This window comes from Homo sapiens, chromosome 4 (genome assembly GCF_000001405.40).
Source record: "Homo sapiens chromosome 4, GRCh38.p14 Primary Assembly".
NCBI lineage: Eukaryota > Metazoa > Chordata > Mammalia > Primates > Hominidae > Homo > Homo sapiens.
Window position 1 is genome coordinate 132,027,612 of NC_000004.12, and position 18,986 is coordinate 132,046,597.

An 18,986-nucleotide genomic window follows, 5' to 3' on the forward strand; every position below is an offset into this window, starting at 1 on the left:
CGATTTAGTAGTTGGAAAATCAATACTAAAATCAAATGAAAAAATTAATGCATGCAATAACAATGTGTGTATGACTAGTTATAGGAATTTATATATAAATAACAATAGCTTTTCTCTGTATTAACAATAATCATCTCCAGCATTTTACAAAAGAAAACAATCTTAGTTATAATAGCAGTAAAAATGATAAAATTAATTACACACACAAGAAAGTCCTCCAAGAAATAATAAGAACTTTAGCAGAAAAGCCTTACAATTCTATTTGTTTAAACAAATTAAAAGGATTTAAGTATGTTAAAGAATGTGAAATGATTCCCTACAGGAAAAAGTCAATACTGTAAATATGTCAATTCTCATACTGATCAATTTACTTACAAACTTTTTAGAATATGGAAAATCATATTAAGTAGCTCATATAAAAGAAAGTACAGAAAAAGATAATAAGATAAAAAAGTGATAATTTTGGTTACTGGCACTGAAATAGGAATTGTTTAAGGAAATAGGATGATGCATACAGCAATTCAAATAGATGTAAAAATCTAGTCTACTATAGAAGTGGCAATATGAGGAAAAAATAAAAAATTAAATCAGTCACATTTTGACAAATTACTATTTGAAAACTAAAGGTTTGGAAATCTTCCTCATTCTAAACATAAAAATTAATTCTAAATTTATCCAGTAGTTCATTAATTTTAAAGAAGTAAAATTAAATATTCAGGTGCAGTGGCACTTACCTGTAGTCCCAGTTACTTGGGACGCTGAGGCAGGAGAAGCTCTTGAGCCCAGGATGTAGAGGTTGTAGCGTGCTATGATCATTTGTCAGAATCACCATTACACTCCAGCCTAGGCAACAAAGTGAGACCCCCATATCTAAAAACAAACAACAACAACCAAAAAAAAACCCACCAAAAACAAAATTACTAAAAATGTAAAATTAACAAAAAGCATTGGAATTATTTTTGTGATTTTAATTTTAGAGTGGAGAATTTTATTAAACAGACAATTCACAAAAGAAACATCAGAAAATAGTTAAAAAAGACCCTCAGCTTAGTTACTCACAAGAAATTATAAGTTAAACAACTAAATATCATGTTGGTTAATCTTTGCAAATACCTCAAAAAAAATGGATGGCATGTACAATTGGGTTTGACTATAGATAGGCAGCCACCTTTAAACACTGCATATATAAACTTAAGGGACTTCAATTTAATATTTACCAAATTTTAAAAATTCTGTCTTTTGACTTATTTCCACTCAAAAAAACTATCCTAAAGTAATATTCACACACACACACACATACACACACACACAGACATATAAAATCCTGGTCTTTAGAAACAATCTAAATACTTATAAGTTGAGAGCTGTCAAGAAAGGGGTCACTGATGAGATGTTATTTAAGTAGAGTGTTATTAGAAGTGAAGGAATAGAGCACACAGGTAACTGCAAAGAGAATTACAAGTTCAAAGGCTGTGAAGCAGAAGTATGCTTGATAAGTTCGGAAAACATCTTGGAGTACAATATGGTTGGATCATACTCACCAGGGAAGAGATTATTAAGAAGAGGGGGGTGGTAGAGGGATTCTACATCATAAGAATCTTTTAAAGACTACTTTACTTTTTACTCTGAGAGAAAATACTAATGACCTAAGTGTTTTGATTAATAATGTTAAGATATACCATTAAATACTCTTTCATGTCACACAAAATTATGTTTTTGACTTTATTTTATGGGTTTAGATATCTGGAGAAAAAAATTTAAATAATTTTAAACAAATGGTTTAGGTTAGCATTATATTATTTTTGGTTATATACTTTTAAATTATATACTTTTAAATTGCTAACAAAGATTGTATATAAGCATTAGTCTGTGAAGACAGGATATATACAGGAAAAATTAATTTAATTACTTTAAATTTTAACACAATTACCTACTACTCAACTTATCCATTTCACTCTATAATCAAAACTTAATAAGTTAATGCAAAATTGTGACTGATACAGTGTTTTGGTGCCCTAATAAATAAGCACAATGTATGCTGGGCAACTGGTCAACTGTATCCCCCATAATCTGGCTGTGGATATACAGTAGATGCTCAATAAATGTTGATGAGCTATAATTTATGGAGTAATGTTAAGATACGTATGAGGAAAATAAAGTACTTCTCAGACAGGCGTACTTGGGCACAGTGATTTATCAATTTCAGTTATAAAGAGCCAATGTTGTTTGGATATGTTTTCCTTATCACTATTCACAGAGAAGAAACAGAAAACCAAGGAAAGACAAACCACTGAAATTTAAGTTCTTGATCAGATGATGATTTCCATGAGCAAGAAACATTATCCTACATAAAAAAACTCTCTTATGAAGTATTGGTATTTTTCATTGAAGACAAAACATTTCATCCAATAAGTGAAATCTTGAGATAACTGGGAGATTTAATAAACTGGTATAAATTAATGTCAATTAAGCAATAATTAAAGTCAGAGGATGGTTTTCTTGTTTTATTTATTAGAGATGAGTTCTCACTCTGTCATTCAGGCTGGAGTGCAGTAGCGTGATCATAGCTTATAGCAGCCTTGAACTCCTGGGTTCAAGGAACCTTCCTTATTCAATGTCCCAAGTAACTGGGATTTTTTGTTTGTTTGTTTTATCTCTGTAACAGCGTATAAGCTAAAAGGCAGTGTGTTACTGTGATGAACTGGAACATTTCTCTTGATAACTCTGTCACAGACAAGCCTTTTTTGTGATTACAACACTTTTTGTTTTATTTTTGGGATTTTACCGTATTATTTTTACTATGTTATCACACTGTGTGATAAATAAAATGTAATTGATTCATAAAATCAATATAATCAATGCATATTAACTATCAACATTTCTAAATCATGAGAATATAGCAAATAATTTTGAAATTGTTACGGTACATAGAGCAACCTAGAAGACTATGTAACTGGAAATATTTCTTTGCACTTAAACTCTATATGATCCTCTTAATGATGTTTATTGTTAATTTAAGAAACTTATAAAGTTCTTCTGATCCATGAACATAGAATATATTTCCATTTATTTGTATCTTCTTTGATTTCTTTTTCTTTCCTTTTATTCCTTTCTTTTTTTTTTTTTTTTTTAGACGAAGTTTTGCTCTTGTTGCCCAGGCTGGAGTGCAATGGCGTGATCTTGGCTCACTGCAACCTCTGCCTCCCGGTTTCAACTGATTCTCTTACCTCAGCCTCCCGAGTAGCTGGGATTACAGGCACCCACCAAAACGCCCAGCTTCTTTTTGTATTTTTAGTAGAGATAGGGTTTCACCATGTTGACCAGGCTCGTCTCAAACTGCTGACCTCAGGTGATCCACCCACCTCAGCCTCCCAAAGTGCTGGGATTACAGGTGTGAACCACCGCTCCTGGCCCAATATTTTTAAATAGTTTTAAGCACACAGACTTTTCACCTCCTTGGTTAAATTTATTCCTAAGTATTTTATTTTACTTTTTGGTGCTGTCATAAATGGGACTGTTATCTTGATTTCTCTTTTGGCTAAGTTGTTATTTGTGTATAAAAATGGCATGGGTTTGTTGTATGTTGGTTTTATATTCTGCAGCTTTGCCAAATTTATCTAGTAGGTCTAACAGTTTTTGTAAAGTCTTCGGGAACTTACTACATAAATTTGGCTCATATCATCTGCAAGTAGAGATTAATTTACTTTTTCTTTTCAGATTTGGATACCTTTTCTTTTTCTTTGTCTAAATGCCCTTGTTGGTACTCCCAGTACTGTTGTGAACAGAAGTGATGAGAGTGGTCATCTTTGCCTTGTGACATTTTTTAAATTATCATTATGAAAAAATTTTACCTATATCTTTAAAAATATTTTTGGTTATTATACAATGTTTTGAGCAGGATCTAAAACAGCTGTATGTTTAAACCTTTTCCTGCTGATAAATCAACAAAATGAAGAATTTTATTGTCACATTTGTTAATACTGCTTCATTTAATTTGATTTATTATTACTTTCTTTAAAGAGTTTATGTGTGTCTCAGTATTATTAACATCATGTTTGCTAATTGTTCTAGATTTCTTAGCCATTGCTATTTCATTTTGTTTAGTTCCAAATGATTCCTGTTGCAAATGGCCAAAAATATGGCCAATTACCAAATAACTCAAAAATCCTCATTTTAATGGCTACATAGTAACTACATTGTGACACCTCTACTAATATGTTAGATCTAGGTTTAATTTGGTGCATAATTTGATGTATGTTTCATGGAGCACACCTCTAACCGCATCTACTTTGGTGAGATAATCTTCTAATCACATCGATAATTTTAAAAACATAATATTCAAAATAAGAAAGTTATTGAAGTGAAATATCTGGTAAAAATATTCAGCTTATAATAACTAATGATTATTGTTGGACTGGTCAGATAACTTTGAAGTTTACAAGATCATAAGATAGCACAGAGTAAGTCCAAATGTGTTATTGTCTGAGGATGTATTTTTTAAAATCTGTGAACTCCACACAAATGGTAATCATGTATTTGACATATGGGTGTATGCAAGGACTATGACAACATATTCATTCCTATCTGAGCTTTTAATGATAAAAAATGATGTAAAAAGGAAAAGAGAAATGTGAATTCAGCAAAGCCAAATGATTTCTGAAACTCACTTGATACATGCACATGTAATCAGAAAATAAACATTAATCTAACAGGTATATATTTGCATAGAAACATGTATTTCTTAATTAAAATATAAAATTCATATCTTTATAGTGTTTTGAGACTACTCCCATTTTCTAAATAACATTTTTCTTATTTAGTGAAATACAACTTTATTATAGTAGCATGTTTGGCTCTTTAAATATGAATAACATTTGACTACAATCAAATGAAAACTTGTTTTACCTATTTTTATTATTTAAAGTATATAAAACTTGTTTTATCTACTTTTATCTACTAGAGCCCATTGTGTAGAGTAGATCTTGTGGGAAAATATGTTACTTAGTATTTTGGACTCTGGGTTTTTGTTTTATTTTCCTAACCTTTTATTGAGATCTTAAGAGGCATGCATAAAAATATACAAATTAAATATCTATTTTTTAAGAATTTTCCTCCAAAGTAAACACACCTATGTAATCAGAACACAGAAAACAAACAAACAAACAAACAAAAACTTCACAAGAATCGAGAGCCTCTCCAAAACACCCTTTCAGGTATTTCTCCCACCAGTGGTAACCACCATTTTGACTCTTAGCAGTATTGATGAACTTTTCTTATTTAGAAACTTTCTAGAAATGTAATCATATAGTATGTATTTTTTGCGTGTCTGATTCTCTAAGTATTGTTTATGATAATCATCCATGTTGCTATGTGCTGTAGTTGTCTATCATCATTATTATATGATATGGCATTATATAAATATGCCACAACACATTTATCGATTCTAGTCTTCATGGACATTTGGAATAGTTTCTAGTGGTGCTTTAAATACATGAATACTAAAGGAGTCTCATATTTACATCTGCAACTAAGTACTTGTCTATGGCAGTGAGGGTGTCAGACAAATTTCTGTAGGACCTATACTTGCTAAAGCCCACTAAACAAAGACCATTAGCAACATACCTGCAGTTGAACAAAGTTGGATATATTGGTTTTTTGTAGCAGTGGAGAATGAAAACCAGGAGATCCATGAGGTAGAGCATGGAGGAGTCAGTGAAAGATACTTACAGAATATGGAGGACTTACCTTGGTTACAAGATTTGTCAGAATATGTCAACCAAACAAGTTACTCAAAGAAGCAGTTTTCTTATTTTCAAAAATATACTTCTGTATAGAGTTAATGTTAGTTCACTGTATTAATGGTGTCTTCTTGATATATGTAAATCTAAATACACTGTTGTTGAGTTTGAACTTAGTTTGTGTCTTAGATATTGATTTAGTATAATGCTTTCTTATTTTGTAAGTAACAGTAGCATTTGGAAAATTGTGGTTTCTGTTTCAGTTTTTAGTTTTCTGCTCACAGCCTTGCTTCTAGTAGGTTTTTTTTGTTTTGTTTTTTGACAGTCTTGCTCCATCTCCCAGGTTGGAGTGCGGTGCCGCTGTCTTGGTCCAAGCGATTCTCCTGCCTCAGTCTCCTGGGTATCTGGGATTACAGGCACGCATCACCATGCCCGGCTAGTTTTTTGTATTTTTAGTAGAGGCAAGGTTTCGCCATGTTTCCCAGGCTAGTCTCAAACTCCTGAGCTCAGGAAATCCACCCGCCTCGGCCTCCCAGAGTGCCAGGATTACAGGCGTGAGCCACTGCGCCCGGCAGGTCAGTTTTTAACTTTGCTGATTTTTATATGCCTTGGGAAGAAAATTGAAGCAGAGGTCAGTAGGCCGTAACTACTCAGTAATTTCCTGCTGCTGTAACTATTTTATTTTAATTTAATTTTTTTATTAAATCAAATACTTCTATAGACATTACTCCCAATACACTTAATTATAATTTGTAACGATAAATCTGTAGATCCTATTCAGAGAAAATAGAAATAAAAACAGGTGAAACATTACCATTTTAAACTTTTTCAAATCATGTTTCAGTTCAAAAGTTTGGAAATAATTATTTCTGGGCCAACTAGTTTACCAAAAGAGTAATTACTACCACCTACAAGAGTATAGACTCCAAATGAAGTGATTGTAGAACAATTATATATAGTGCTTCTTTGGAACACCCTCTACTGCTTCTCCATAGAAATTCTGTTGGCTAATAGTACAGAGAAAGATATTTACCAAAAAAAAAACACTATTATATCTAATACAAGGTACTAAACAACGTGATGGTCTTCACCAACAATTGTACTTGGTGAAGATCTTTCCTTTCTGTATTAACCATAGACGTAGGGACAAATCTTTATTCTAATCAATATGGGAAAACTAGTATTTTCAGGCAGTCAAGGTGAAGAAATGTCCTGCTAATACAGCTCTAAAAATATAACAATGCTTCCAATTGTAGATATTAAATAGGAAAAACTGGTAAATAAGAGGATGTGATTAGTTATCAAGAGTTCAAACAAGTAGTGGCTAATATCCTCATTGGTTTCCAGAAGAATTTAATTATGTCCTACCTGAATGTTTCACAGTCTACAGTTGTGTTTCCACAATTCTCACAAGTGCTTGAGCCGAAAACCTTCAACAATGTTTTAACAACAATTACCACATCCTGTAATTAGTTCATATGAGGCAGTGGGCTTATTAGCAAAAAAAGGTGACAATTCAATTCTGAAGGGGTCTACCTGTCTAAGGGCTTAGCAGGCACTGAAGCCCCTGTGCAAATTAGAAACCTACAAATCAAAACCACAATGAGATATCAATGCACACACTTGGATTACTAATATAAACTTAAAAAGGTAAATGTTGGTGAGGATATGAAGAAGTAGAAACCCTGTACAGTTGTACACTGTTGCTAGAAATAAATTGTGTAGCCATCATAAAAAACAATGTGGTAGTTTCTCAAAAAACTAAAAATAAAATTGCCATAAATTCCACTTTTGGATCTATATCCAAAAGAAGTAGAAACAGATCTTGAAAAGATATCTGGACTCCCAAGGTCATTGCAGAATTATACATAATAGCCAATATACGGAAGCAACCTAAATGTCCATTGGCAAATGAATGGATAAAAAATGTGGTATACATACCATAGAATATTATTCAGCCTTTCAAAAAAAAAAGGAAATTCTTCCATTTATGAAAAGATGGATGAACCTGAAGGACAGTATCTTAAGTGAAATGAACCAGTAACCGAAGGAAAAATACTGCATGATTCACCTGTATGAGCTATCTAAAACAGTCAATCTCACAGAAGTGGAGATTAGAATGGTAGTTCCCAGGGGCTTAGGGAAGGGGAAAATAGATAGTTGCTATTTAGTATGTATAAAGTTTCAATTACATAAGATGAATAAGTTCTGCAGCTCTCCTGTGCAACATTGTGCTTTAGCTAATAATACTGTATTGTGCATTTAAAAAATAAGAGGTCTTAAGTGTCATTTTCACAACAAAAATAAACGGAGAAAAAAGTAAAGGCCTTCATTTCTCAAAGTATTCTTGCCTTTCACTAGCACTCATGGTTTGGAGAATGGAGAACTTTTCCCTCCACTGCTGGCCATTCATTGTACAAATGTCAAACTTCACAATCTAGGCAACAATACAGCATCCACTCTTGCAGCCAATCCTGTTGGTTTTGTCTTCAAAATCTATTAAAATTATGACTACTCCTTATCTTCTCCATTGCAATCATCATGTGTCAAGCAACTGACATCATCTTTCACCTAGATTTACACTATTCCTCACCACTTGTCTTCCTGCTCTTGCTGTTGTACTCTTACCTGTTCTTCACACAGCAATTTATTATCTCAGTTCTTTTTAAGACCCTCCATTATCTTTCTATATTCCTTAGAATGAAATGCAAACACTTATAGTAATCGAAAAGGGTTTAATTGAATCTCTTTAATAATCTTCAAAAATATCAACTATAATTTGATTCAGACTTGAATACTTAATATCATCACAGTTTTTAAATGGTAAACTGAGTTTCGAAAGTGTTGAGCTACTTGCCTAGGAGCACACTGTTTAAGGCAGAGTAGAAAGTCAACTCTGTCACTCTGAATTAACATGCTCATGAGGATTATAAAGAACCTTCTAGTAAACTAGTCAACATGTTCTATCCTGATTAGTCCTTACATGTTATTTGACATGGTAGATGCTGCCTTTCTTCTTGAAACACATCCATCTCATCAGCATATAATTAGGAGCTGAAAATGAAAGATCCTAAAACTGCTTAATTTTCCAAATACTCTCTTACTTTCTCTGGCATTCTAATTATGAACACTATCTAATATTTTATGGATAATAGATTCACACTCTCTTTTGAATTTAAAATATCCTAATGTGTTTTCTGGTCCAATTTCCAAATTATATAAATACAGATGAAACTGGAACATACTTTTCCCTAGATCTCCACATTTCCTCTCCTTTCCTTAGTGGATGGAGGTGTTTCAACCCAGCCAATGCTGGTGCTCCCCTTAGGAAGCCCTTTCCTAGTGAGACTCTCCACTTCTGGATGTAGGAATGGAAGGTTATAGGATCAAAGGGCCCTTCCCCTTTACGTGTTTAGAAGAGGAAAGAAGATCTTAAGTCTTCAGAAACCTGCACTGTCCTGCACTGTCTTTAATGTTCCTTGTGTCTTACAATCAAATAATGATTCACAAATGGACGGTTCTGACTTCTCATTCAAGTACAAATATATATCTTCAATTGCACATTTAGTCTTGGATTACTAGCATATATTCTATTTCAATATGTGAATGCAGCTTCATAGTTCTCATTAGTCATTTATAGAAATTTCCCTTCCTAGTTTTCATTTGCCTTTTAATAGGAAAAAAAAATACTTTCCTGAAGGTACACACTAGACACCTCAGAGGATTTTTTTAAATCTCTTTAATTTTTACCCATCCACCATTCAATAACTTCTTTTCAGATAAGATTTATACTTTTATTTAACTTTTATTTACTCACTAATGCTTTTCTTGAAATGCAATGTACTAGTACTCTTTTTTTTCAATAATATTTACAGGTAATAATAAAAGATAGATAATTTAAAAAATGCTATTTAAGACATGCAAAGTAGATTTGATAGAAATAAAAATATTTAACCCATCCAAAAAAAGACAAGCAGAAGGTAATTGATCTCAAATAATAGCTATCATGATTCGCAGATTTCTTGCCCATCTGTTTCAAAGCCTTAGGGAAGACAGAGGAAAACCGGATAACCAGGAGAATTGGAAAGAATAGATTCAGGTAAGTGAGTTGACTCCCATGATACCTGACCTAGGATAAAGGTCATATCCCCCTTTTTGGGTATATAGAGTGGTAATGCCATATATAGCTAATGATATTCAGGTTGGATATTATTGATAAATTAATTACCCTGCTGCTTTTTATAGGATCTAGGAGAAAGAAAAAAACAGTTTGCAGAAGCTATATGCATTCTAAACAGAAGATATAAGTCTAAATCAGGGCAAGCAACAACCTACATTATTCTAGTTACAACTGAATTTTCAGCTTAGCATGCCTCAAAAACAACTTTCAAGTATATATGTATCAACTGTCAATTTTTCTCATTAGTTTCTCTCAAGTCAGTGTATAATCTGTCATATTACACGTTTAACTTTATTTTATGTTTTTAAAATGTAGCTTATTCTATTGTCAGCCTTCTTACACTGCCTGCTATTCTTCCTTTAAACAGGAATATCCTTTGTAATATAATGTTTATAATCTAAACCACTAATTTTACCTGTTAATTATACAATATATTACATTGTTAGTTGATTATTTCATATACACTTATGCTTTTTACTATAATAAGAGGACTGGTGATAGAAAATATCTCTTATTCTTATTTTATAACTCTTCATCTTAAAATTAAAGTGAATTAAAAGATAAGTTATTTTAATTGTTTGGTAGTTTTTCAAATTCCACAGTCCATTTCAGCATACAAAAGAAATATCTGAGTACTCATTTTTCTAACCTTCTGTGCACTTGAGTGCACAATTAATGTGTATTCTAAGAAGAAAACTTAAAAGTATTACAGATGCATCTTCTCTCAAGTAGACCTGTAACACTAAGAAAGTGATTTAATATTCTTTTTTCTTTTTCTTTTTCTTAATCGGAGTCTCGCTCTGTCGCCCAGGCTGGAGTGCAGTGGCGCAATCTCGGCTCACTGCCAGCTCCGCTTCCCGGGATCACGCCATTCTCCCTCCTCAGCCTCCCGAGTAGCTAGGACTACAGGCGCCCGCCACCACGCTAGCTAATTTTTTTGTACTTTTAGTAGAGACTGGGTTTCACCGTGTTAGCCACGATGGTCTCGATCTCCTGACATCGTGATCCACCCTCCTCGGCCTCCCAAAGTGCTGGGATTACAGGCTTGAGCCACCGCGCCCGGCCGGTATTCTTAACACATGACAGTTTTAGAATTCAATGACTCATTTTTATGTAGCTAGATACTATTTTAAAGCATAGTCCTGAAAGCAGAATAAATTAGGTGGTGATTTTATTCATATGTAAAACGAGCATCAGATTTCACAAGAAATAAAAAACTGTTTTCTTTTCTCTTTAGTTATATACCATTCATAATTTTTTAATTGTGTAATTTGAGCTTCTATAAATATGTATTTGATAGCTTATTTTACATAAAAACATTTTTGGATCATTGAAGGTATAGCCACTTTGCTTGGATAAATATCCTGGCTATTTTTCAGGAAAAAATAAATCTAATAAAATGTATAAACATGACTATTTCATTAGATGCTTAGTGTGCAGCTGTAGTAAAATTGTTGCATAAGAGTGCATGCATTGTTCATTTTCATAAATCATCAACCTAGTTAAATCAATGTTTGCCAACTATAAAAGGTGACTTTTATGCACTGTTAGGTGAAGGGATTATAAAAATTTAGCACTAAATTAAGTTGAGCTATGTACTTCACAGGTGAAGATCCAACTATTATCCTCTTATTTAAAGAAAGCAACATTTTAATATTAATTTATGTTCAATTTTATAATACTAAATATTATAGTAAAGTGTCACAACATTGTAAAAGCAGAAAATTTTATTAACCATTATGAAAATAAAAGCTCTAGAAAAAAGAGATTTAGATATATAGAGAGTGAGAGGCAGAGAAACAAGGAACAATGATTGAAAGAATTCATGCAGAAGTCAGTCTGCCTTTTCTGGACATATAATTGAGACTTAAAACATCCAAGTTTGATGTAGCTACCAGTAGTCAGTTTCTATAAAAGCATTCAGGAGCTACCAACTCTACGTATTTACTTTTATTCTACTATTAAACTCTGACTATGTTGAGGACGCAGTCAAATTGGAGTCTTGTGGAGCAATCATCACTACAATTAGATGTTTCATGTTGCATCTTATTTCAAATCAAATCAAATATTTTCCGAAGGATTCATAAAGTTGGTCTATTTTATATGTCTGTGGAAAATAGCTAAGTACAAACTATAATTTAAATGACAACATTAGTACAAGATACTGTTATTTGAATGTGTTTTACCTGATACATATATACATATATTTCATTACAAATACGTAACGTCGAATGCTTTTCATGTTGGCCAACTGTTTAATGGATGATCTGCATCCTTTGGATAATGAAAGGATAGAAGCTTTAACTTGTCATGCTGTAAATTTTGTTCCCTGCATAATTAATTCAGATATGGATATTAAGTATATTTCAGTAGCCAGGCATTGAATATAAGCACAGATGGAATTTCTTCTTCTAATAGAGAACACACTTCAGTTAATACTCAATTTGACATTGTGTACACCTGAGGACCTTCAATAGACAACTAATTTAGAAAGCTGATTTTCTGAAGACAAACTAGAGAGTAAATTATTAAAGCAATTATCTGTAAATGAGAAGAGAGAAATCTTAAATCCCTTTTATCTAAATCTCAAGTGGTTAATACATGACTCTGCATGAATCAAAAAAGATTCTTTGGATTTCCAAGCTGACTTCATCTGGAAAACTGAATTTGCCCTTCAAACATATGTTTTGGAATACAGAGAACAACAACAAAACCCAAAATATCTTTTGCACTTTTTACATTTAGTGAATATTATTGCTTTGATAGTAAAAGTACATAAAAGTACATAGAAAAATAACAGTTTGAAAAATGACGCAAAGCAAGTTAGAATACAAAGGTATTATGAATTTTGCACCTGTTCTAATTTGCTCTATAACATACAACTGATAACTTTTAATTGATTTAATACTGACTTTCTTTTGAATACGGTCCAGATTTGATTTTTAAAGCTTTAATGAAAATTGTTAAATGACTGTAATTATGTTTCAGATTACCTGGTTAGCTCATGGCTTTTATAAGCCTAAATATGACCTGAAGTCTCAAAGAAATTACATAATTTCCCCTAAAGTATAATTTTTTGACACCAATACATGTATTTGTAGTAAGTATTTTTGTGTGCATTTCTAAGAGAGACAAGATTAATACATGTGGATTTTCTTGCCACATGAGGGTGAAATGGGGAAAGATTTAGAGAGGAGTTGAAGTTGGGGAAGAAGGGATGAAAATGATTTAAGAAGGGCTTTATCTTTTAACGTGCAAGGGTTTTCAAGATTTTATTGAGTGTTGGATAAGCAATCATTGTTGATGGACTTTTAAAAATAAGAGCACTAAGGTGAGATTAAAGTAAAAGTAGTTCCTCCTAGATTGACACTAAATGGTGCCCCTGGCAACATAGCCAACAACTTGTAGAACAACATACAAAAGAGAAATTGTTGCCATTTTAAATTATTTTACTGGGATTCTCCTAGAGATAACATTTCCATACATATTTCCCATATTTAGAAATAGTAACAATAATATAATAAATTATCTTGGGCTTAATAATATTGATGGGTAACATACACATAATGAAGTACATAAACTATAAGGGTACAACTTAATGAATGTAAGAAAATGACCAGACTCATTAAACAAGACATTACCATCAAACTAGAAACTGCCTTACTTTTTCCCACTTACCATCTCAATTTTCCTCTTGAGAAGTGAACTCAATCCTGACTTGCAAAATCAGATTAGTTTTGCTCACCTCGTAAATTTATGTAATGGAAATGGCTATGGTTTAAACGTTTGTCTTCTCCAAACCTCATGTTGAATCTTAATCCCCTATATGGTAGTATTGACAGGTGAGGCCTTTAAGAGATGAGTGGATAATAAGGGTCCTTGCCCACATAAATGGATTAATTCATTTGTGAATAAATGGATTAACAGGTTACTGTGGAAGTAGAAGTAGTGGCTTTATAAGAAGAGCAAGGGAGACTTAAGCTATAGTATTATGCTCATCCCCTTAGGAATATGATGCCGCACACTGAATAGGGACACTGCAGAGGGTCTCTGCCAGTAAGAAGGCCCTGGCCAGATGCAGCCTGTCCACCCTAGACTTCTCTGCTTTTATGCTAGTAAGAAAAATACTCTTTTCTAAAATAAATTACCCAGTTTTAGGTATTCCAGTATAAGCAACAGAAAAGGGATTAATTATGAAAATATGTTTGTTTATGTTAGCTTACTATTCTCTGTATAATTTATCATACATTTTGGAAATTATCCATCATTATTTCTTCAAGTAGTTTCTGTCTCATATCTTTTTCATTTAATCTGGGACCTTGATATCATTGTTCCTTCACTTACTAGATCCTATTTACTGTGTATGCTATTTTTAAAATTGATTTTATTGTTGTTTTGCTAATCCCCAGAATGTATTTTTTCTTGTCATCTATCTTCCAGTCCACTAATTTTCTGTTCAGCTTTTAAAAATCTGCCATAAAACTCACCCATTGAATCTGGATTTTAGTTATTTTATTTTCAGTTTTGGAGTTTCCATGTAACTATTGTTTTATACTCTCTGTTGAAAAATTTACCTTGACATTTATCAAATTGAACACACCAATACAATTCTTTCAAATTTTATTTCTGTTAAACACATATATGAATATATCTTTGGGGTGTTTTTTTCACTTGCTTTAGTGTCAAGTCCTATGTATTCATATATGTTTTATATAAATTACCAGATATTTTGTGTGAAAATATAGTGATAATTTGAGGTTTTGATTAATGTTATTTTATACAAAGATGGTAAAGATTCATTAATTTTAGATTCATAGGCTAGGAACATATGACCTCAATCTAGGAATTGAACTAGTTTTGCATCTTTGTTTAACTCTTCATGAAGTATTGTCTCATTCTAGTATACCTTTATGCTAGTGTGATTTTCTTTATATTTCCCACTTTAAACATTGTTTTATGGCCTCTCCTCTTTGAAAGATACTAAACTTTGGTTTTGTTCATTGCTTGGTAAGACTTCTAAGAGGCCTCTGTAGCTCTGTAGACTTTTACTAACAGGTTTTTTTATTTGGCATACCAACCTTTTAGCTACTTTTCAAAAATTTAATCATGTCACAAGGAGTTAGCAGTGCCAAATATTGGATTTACCTCTCTTGACTTCCTATTTTCCGTTATCTTGGTCATTCGAGTTTTCATTATTTCAAAGTTCTCTCACAATGAAACAGATATTTTTTGCTACTCTTTTCAGATGTTAAATTTGTTCTTATAGGTGGTCTTAGTTCTAAACAATATTTATTAAAAACAGAACTGCCACATTATAATATTTTGATCAGTAAGGAAGTGAGATTGGTGATTTGCATGCTTTATATTGCATTATCTTCCAAAGAACCCTCCTAGTTATGTAATATTCAATATTATTGATTGTCATTTTTACGTTATCTAGGATTTCTTAAATTAGAGCAAATCGTGGTTTTACATAATTGAATGGAACCCTACAGACATGACTACATGCAAATGCATGGCACCGCTTCACTCTGGGTTTCAATTGAATGCAGTTTAGTCAATATTTATCATCAAAATAGACTTTAACAGAAACCAACTAAGAATTGACTTTATAAAGATATCGGTAATATTTTTAAATTTTACTTTCAGTTAAGTAATCACAATGCCAAAACTTACATTTCAAAGAAAGTTTGATATATTTCTAACTAGAAATTATGAAAAGTAATTAGAAGGTACCAATTTTCTTAAGCAGAGCAAGAGAGAAGTAAAAAATTAAGGAGATAACAAAATATTGTCATAAAAAAAGACAGGGTTAGGAGTACCAAACCAATACAAAAATTGGACAGTTACTAAAAACATTTAGTTTTGTATTAAATTATAATGATTCCCAGGTAACACTTTTTAAGCAACAGTACTATAGATATAGACAGTGATGCTTGAAACTAAGGATTAAAGATAGTTATGTATAGAAACTCTCTTTGTTTATAAATTCAGTGTGACTAGGGTTTGTGTGTGTGCATGTGTTTTGCAAAAGGCTATATAAACATTACCAACTGCTTACACGCTCCCATTTGTAGAACTTGTCTTACTATCTGTATCACATAAGACTGTAAAGACTGTATTAAGTCAGAGTTTTCCAGAGAAAAAGGACCAATAGCATGTATACATAAGGAGGGATTTATTTTAAGGGATTGTCTTATGTGATTGTGGAGGATGGCAAGTCTGAAATCTGAAGGACATCTAGCATTCTGTAGACCCAGAGAATAGTTTATGTTGTAACTCAAGTCTAAAAGCAATCTCAAGGCAGAATTCCCTCTTCCTTAGATGACTTCAGTCTTTTCTCTTTAGGCTTTAAATTGATTGGAGGAGGCACATTAATATTATGGAGGGCAATCTGCTTTACTCAAAGTCTCTTGGTTTAAGTGTTAGTCTCAGCTAAAAACAAAACAAAAAACAAAACCTTCATAGCTACTTCTAGACTCGTGTTTGACCAGTGAGAATCATGGCTTAGCCAAATTGACATATACAATTAACCTTCACAATGAGCTAGCATTTACTAATTCAGTACATTACATATACAAAATGTTGAGCTTTTTTTTCTTTATTAAGTAATGGAAGTCATGATAGCAAGTTCAGACTGTCCAATAAAATTATAATGTCTAGTATTCAGAGTAGTTTGAGAAATAGGAATATATTCAAATTTATGATCATGATGTTCCTAGATCTCAGTTGAGTGGAAAAAATAGAAGGGACCTGATATGTCTCTACCACCACAGTAAAGATAACATAGAAACCATTCAAAGTGTATAATTTTCTATTTGATGCTGAAAGGTGACAAACAGGGTTTCAGGAAGATAAACAGGGTTTCAGGAAGATAAACATGCCCAGTCAGATACTGATTATTTTAAGACATTTGCTCCCATGAAGGAAATCTAATTTTTAAAATCGCAATTATTCAGTTTAAAAAGCATATTAACAAATAAAAATGTACAGAATCAAATTTTTTATTCAAATATTCCATACTGAAATTTCCCCTACTCATGAAAATTTATTTGTAATTTTCAAATCAATACTTTCCAGGACATTTGCAGTCATTTGCAAACATGTGAAGAGAGAGAACTATTTGAGTCACCTGACATGCATGTTCCCAGTTGAATTTGAACCGTGATGGCACTGCCTTCTTGTTTCAGCTGTCATACTATAAACAAGTATCGCTACCATTGCCTATTTAATTTCATGTTTTTCAAATTTTTGTCCTTTTGTTGGTAAGGTTTTTGTCGTTTTACTACTGAAAATGATCCCCAAGTATGATAAAGTGCTGTCAATTGTTTCTACACACAATTGGGAGAAATTGGGGAGGTCTTCACTCTATGCTAATTCTTGGTTTCTAAGGTTTTCCATAATAATTTTAAATTTATTTACAACCTGTATTGGTTTGGGTTTTCCAGAGGAAAAAACAAATCAATTGTGTGTGTGTGTGTGTGTGTGTGTGTGTGTGTGTGTGTGTAAGATTTATTAAAAAAAATTGGCTCACGCAAATATAGAGGCTGAGAAATCCCACTGGCTTCTATCTGAAAGCTGGAGACCCAGGAAAGCTGATGGTGCAGCTTTAGTTGGAATCTAAAGGTCTGAGAAACAGGAGAACCAATGGTACAAGCTCTAATCCAACTTGAAGGCCTGAGTGCCAGTTGTTTAAGTCCCAGTCTGAAATCAGGAGAAGACTGATGTCACAGCTGAAGCAGTGAGGCTGAGAAAAATTACTCTTCCTCCCTCTGCCTTTTTGTTCTATTTAGGCCCTCATTGGATTGAAAGATGCCCACCCACATTGGATAGTTTGATCATCACTCAATCTATTGATTCAAATGCTAATCTTTTCTGGAAACATCCTCACAGATACATCCAGAAATAATGTGTAACTAAATATCTGGGTGCCCTGCGACCCCGTCCAGTTGATACACAAAATTAACTATATATACTCCATAGAACAATTCGTGGGTTTGTCCATTCCCCTTTTTAAGTTGGGTTCTCTTTGAAAACAGATTTAGACATACAACATACTATTGGAGAGTTAATGCCTGTGAAAAGGAAAGGGAGAGAGAAGAATCAGACAGGGCTAAGCATATAACTTTGACATAGATAGGACCGTTAATCCACAGGGGAGCTTTGGAGCAAAAATTGCCCATGTGAAGTGTGCCAAGTAGAATGGGAAGGAATAGACCATTATACCATTGCTCTGCTTAGTCACTGGCTGGGAGCCTTCCTGAAAAGAGAGTGTTCTCAGTTATCACCACCTTGTCATTCATTGGCTGGGGGGCACCTTGAGAATAGCATAACCTTGGCTTAAAAGTTGAGAAAATACTAACAAAGAGAAGAAAGCTGCCAACTAACCACACTGTAGGCAATGGAAAAATAAAGATTTCTTGGAGGATGTGAGGGACACATAACATATCTGCCACAACCCATTGCAGGACATTACTTCAAGTTATTATTAGGAGAATCAAAATAAATAAAGTATGTGATGGTATTTATAAACTGTGAGCCACTCTAGAGGTAATATTATTAACAACACCTCTTCTCCTTACCAATTCCTGCCTTCGTGCCTTTTTCTTTATTACGTTTATATTACAGAATTAACTCTATAGTATTTCCAAATCAATGTAAAGCTTAATTTAGTTATGTTGTATTTTTACTTCTGTTCTTTGAGTTTCTATGATTTTGATATAGTAACTTACTCAAACTTTACTTAGTGGACAGGAAAAGTTAATTCAGTTTCTATAAGGTATTTCATTTACTATCAGGAGCTATTTTAGGCCCTGGGAGAATCTGCTTCATCTTTGTTATTTTCATTCTTTTCTAAGTAAACAGAGGCAAGTATTGTTATCACATCTTGGAAACAGGAAAATTGAGCCCTGAAAGGGTATTGGCTTGCCAAGGTCACTTTAACTTAAAAACACTGCTGAATCCATATTTCATGTGTAAAATAAAGATTATTTTTGGAAAAATAATTCAATATAATCATATAGTTGGGTATTTGCAAAAGGTTACAATCTTTAAAAATCAACAGGAGC

The 18,986-nt window shown here is 32.7% G+C and overlaps 1 long non-coding RNA gene across 1 annotated transcript in view; it reads right to left on the minus strand.

The window, feature by feature from the left end:
* The window catches only part of LOC105377428 (uncharacterized), a 34,489-nt gene that overhangs the window by 1,610 nt on the left and 13,893 nt on the right, over nt 1–18,986 (minus strand). The window contains exons 2-3 of the long non-coding RNA XR_939203.4: nt 5,746–6,345; nt 735–870 (exon numbers count right to left, since the gene is read on the minus strand). This is a non-coding gene — a long non-coding RNA (uncharacterized LOC105377428). The remainder of the gene's footprint in view (nt 1–734; nt 871–5,745; nt 6,346–18,986) is intronic.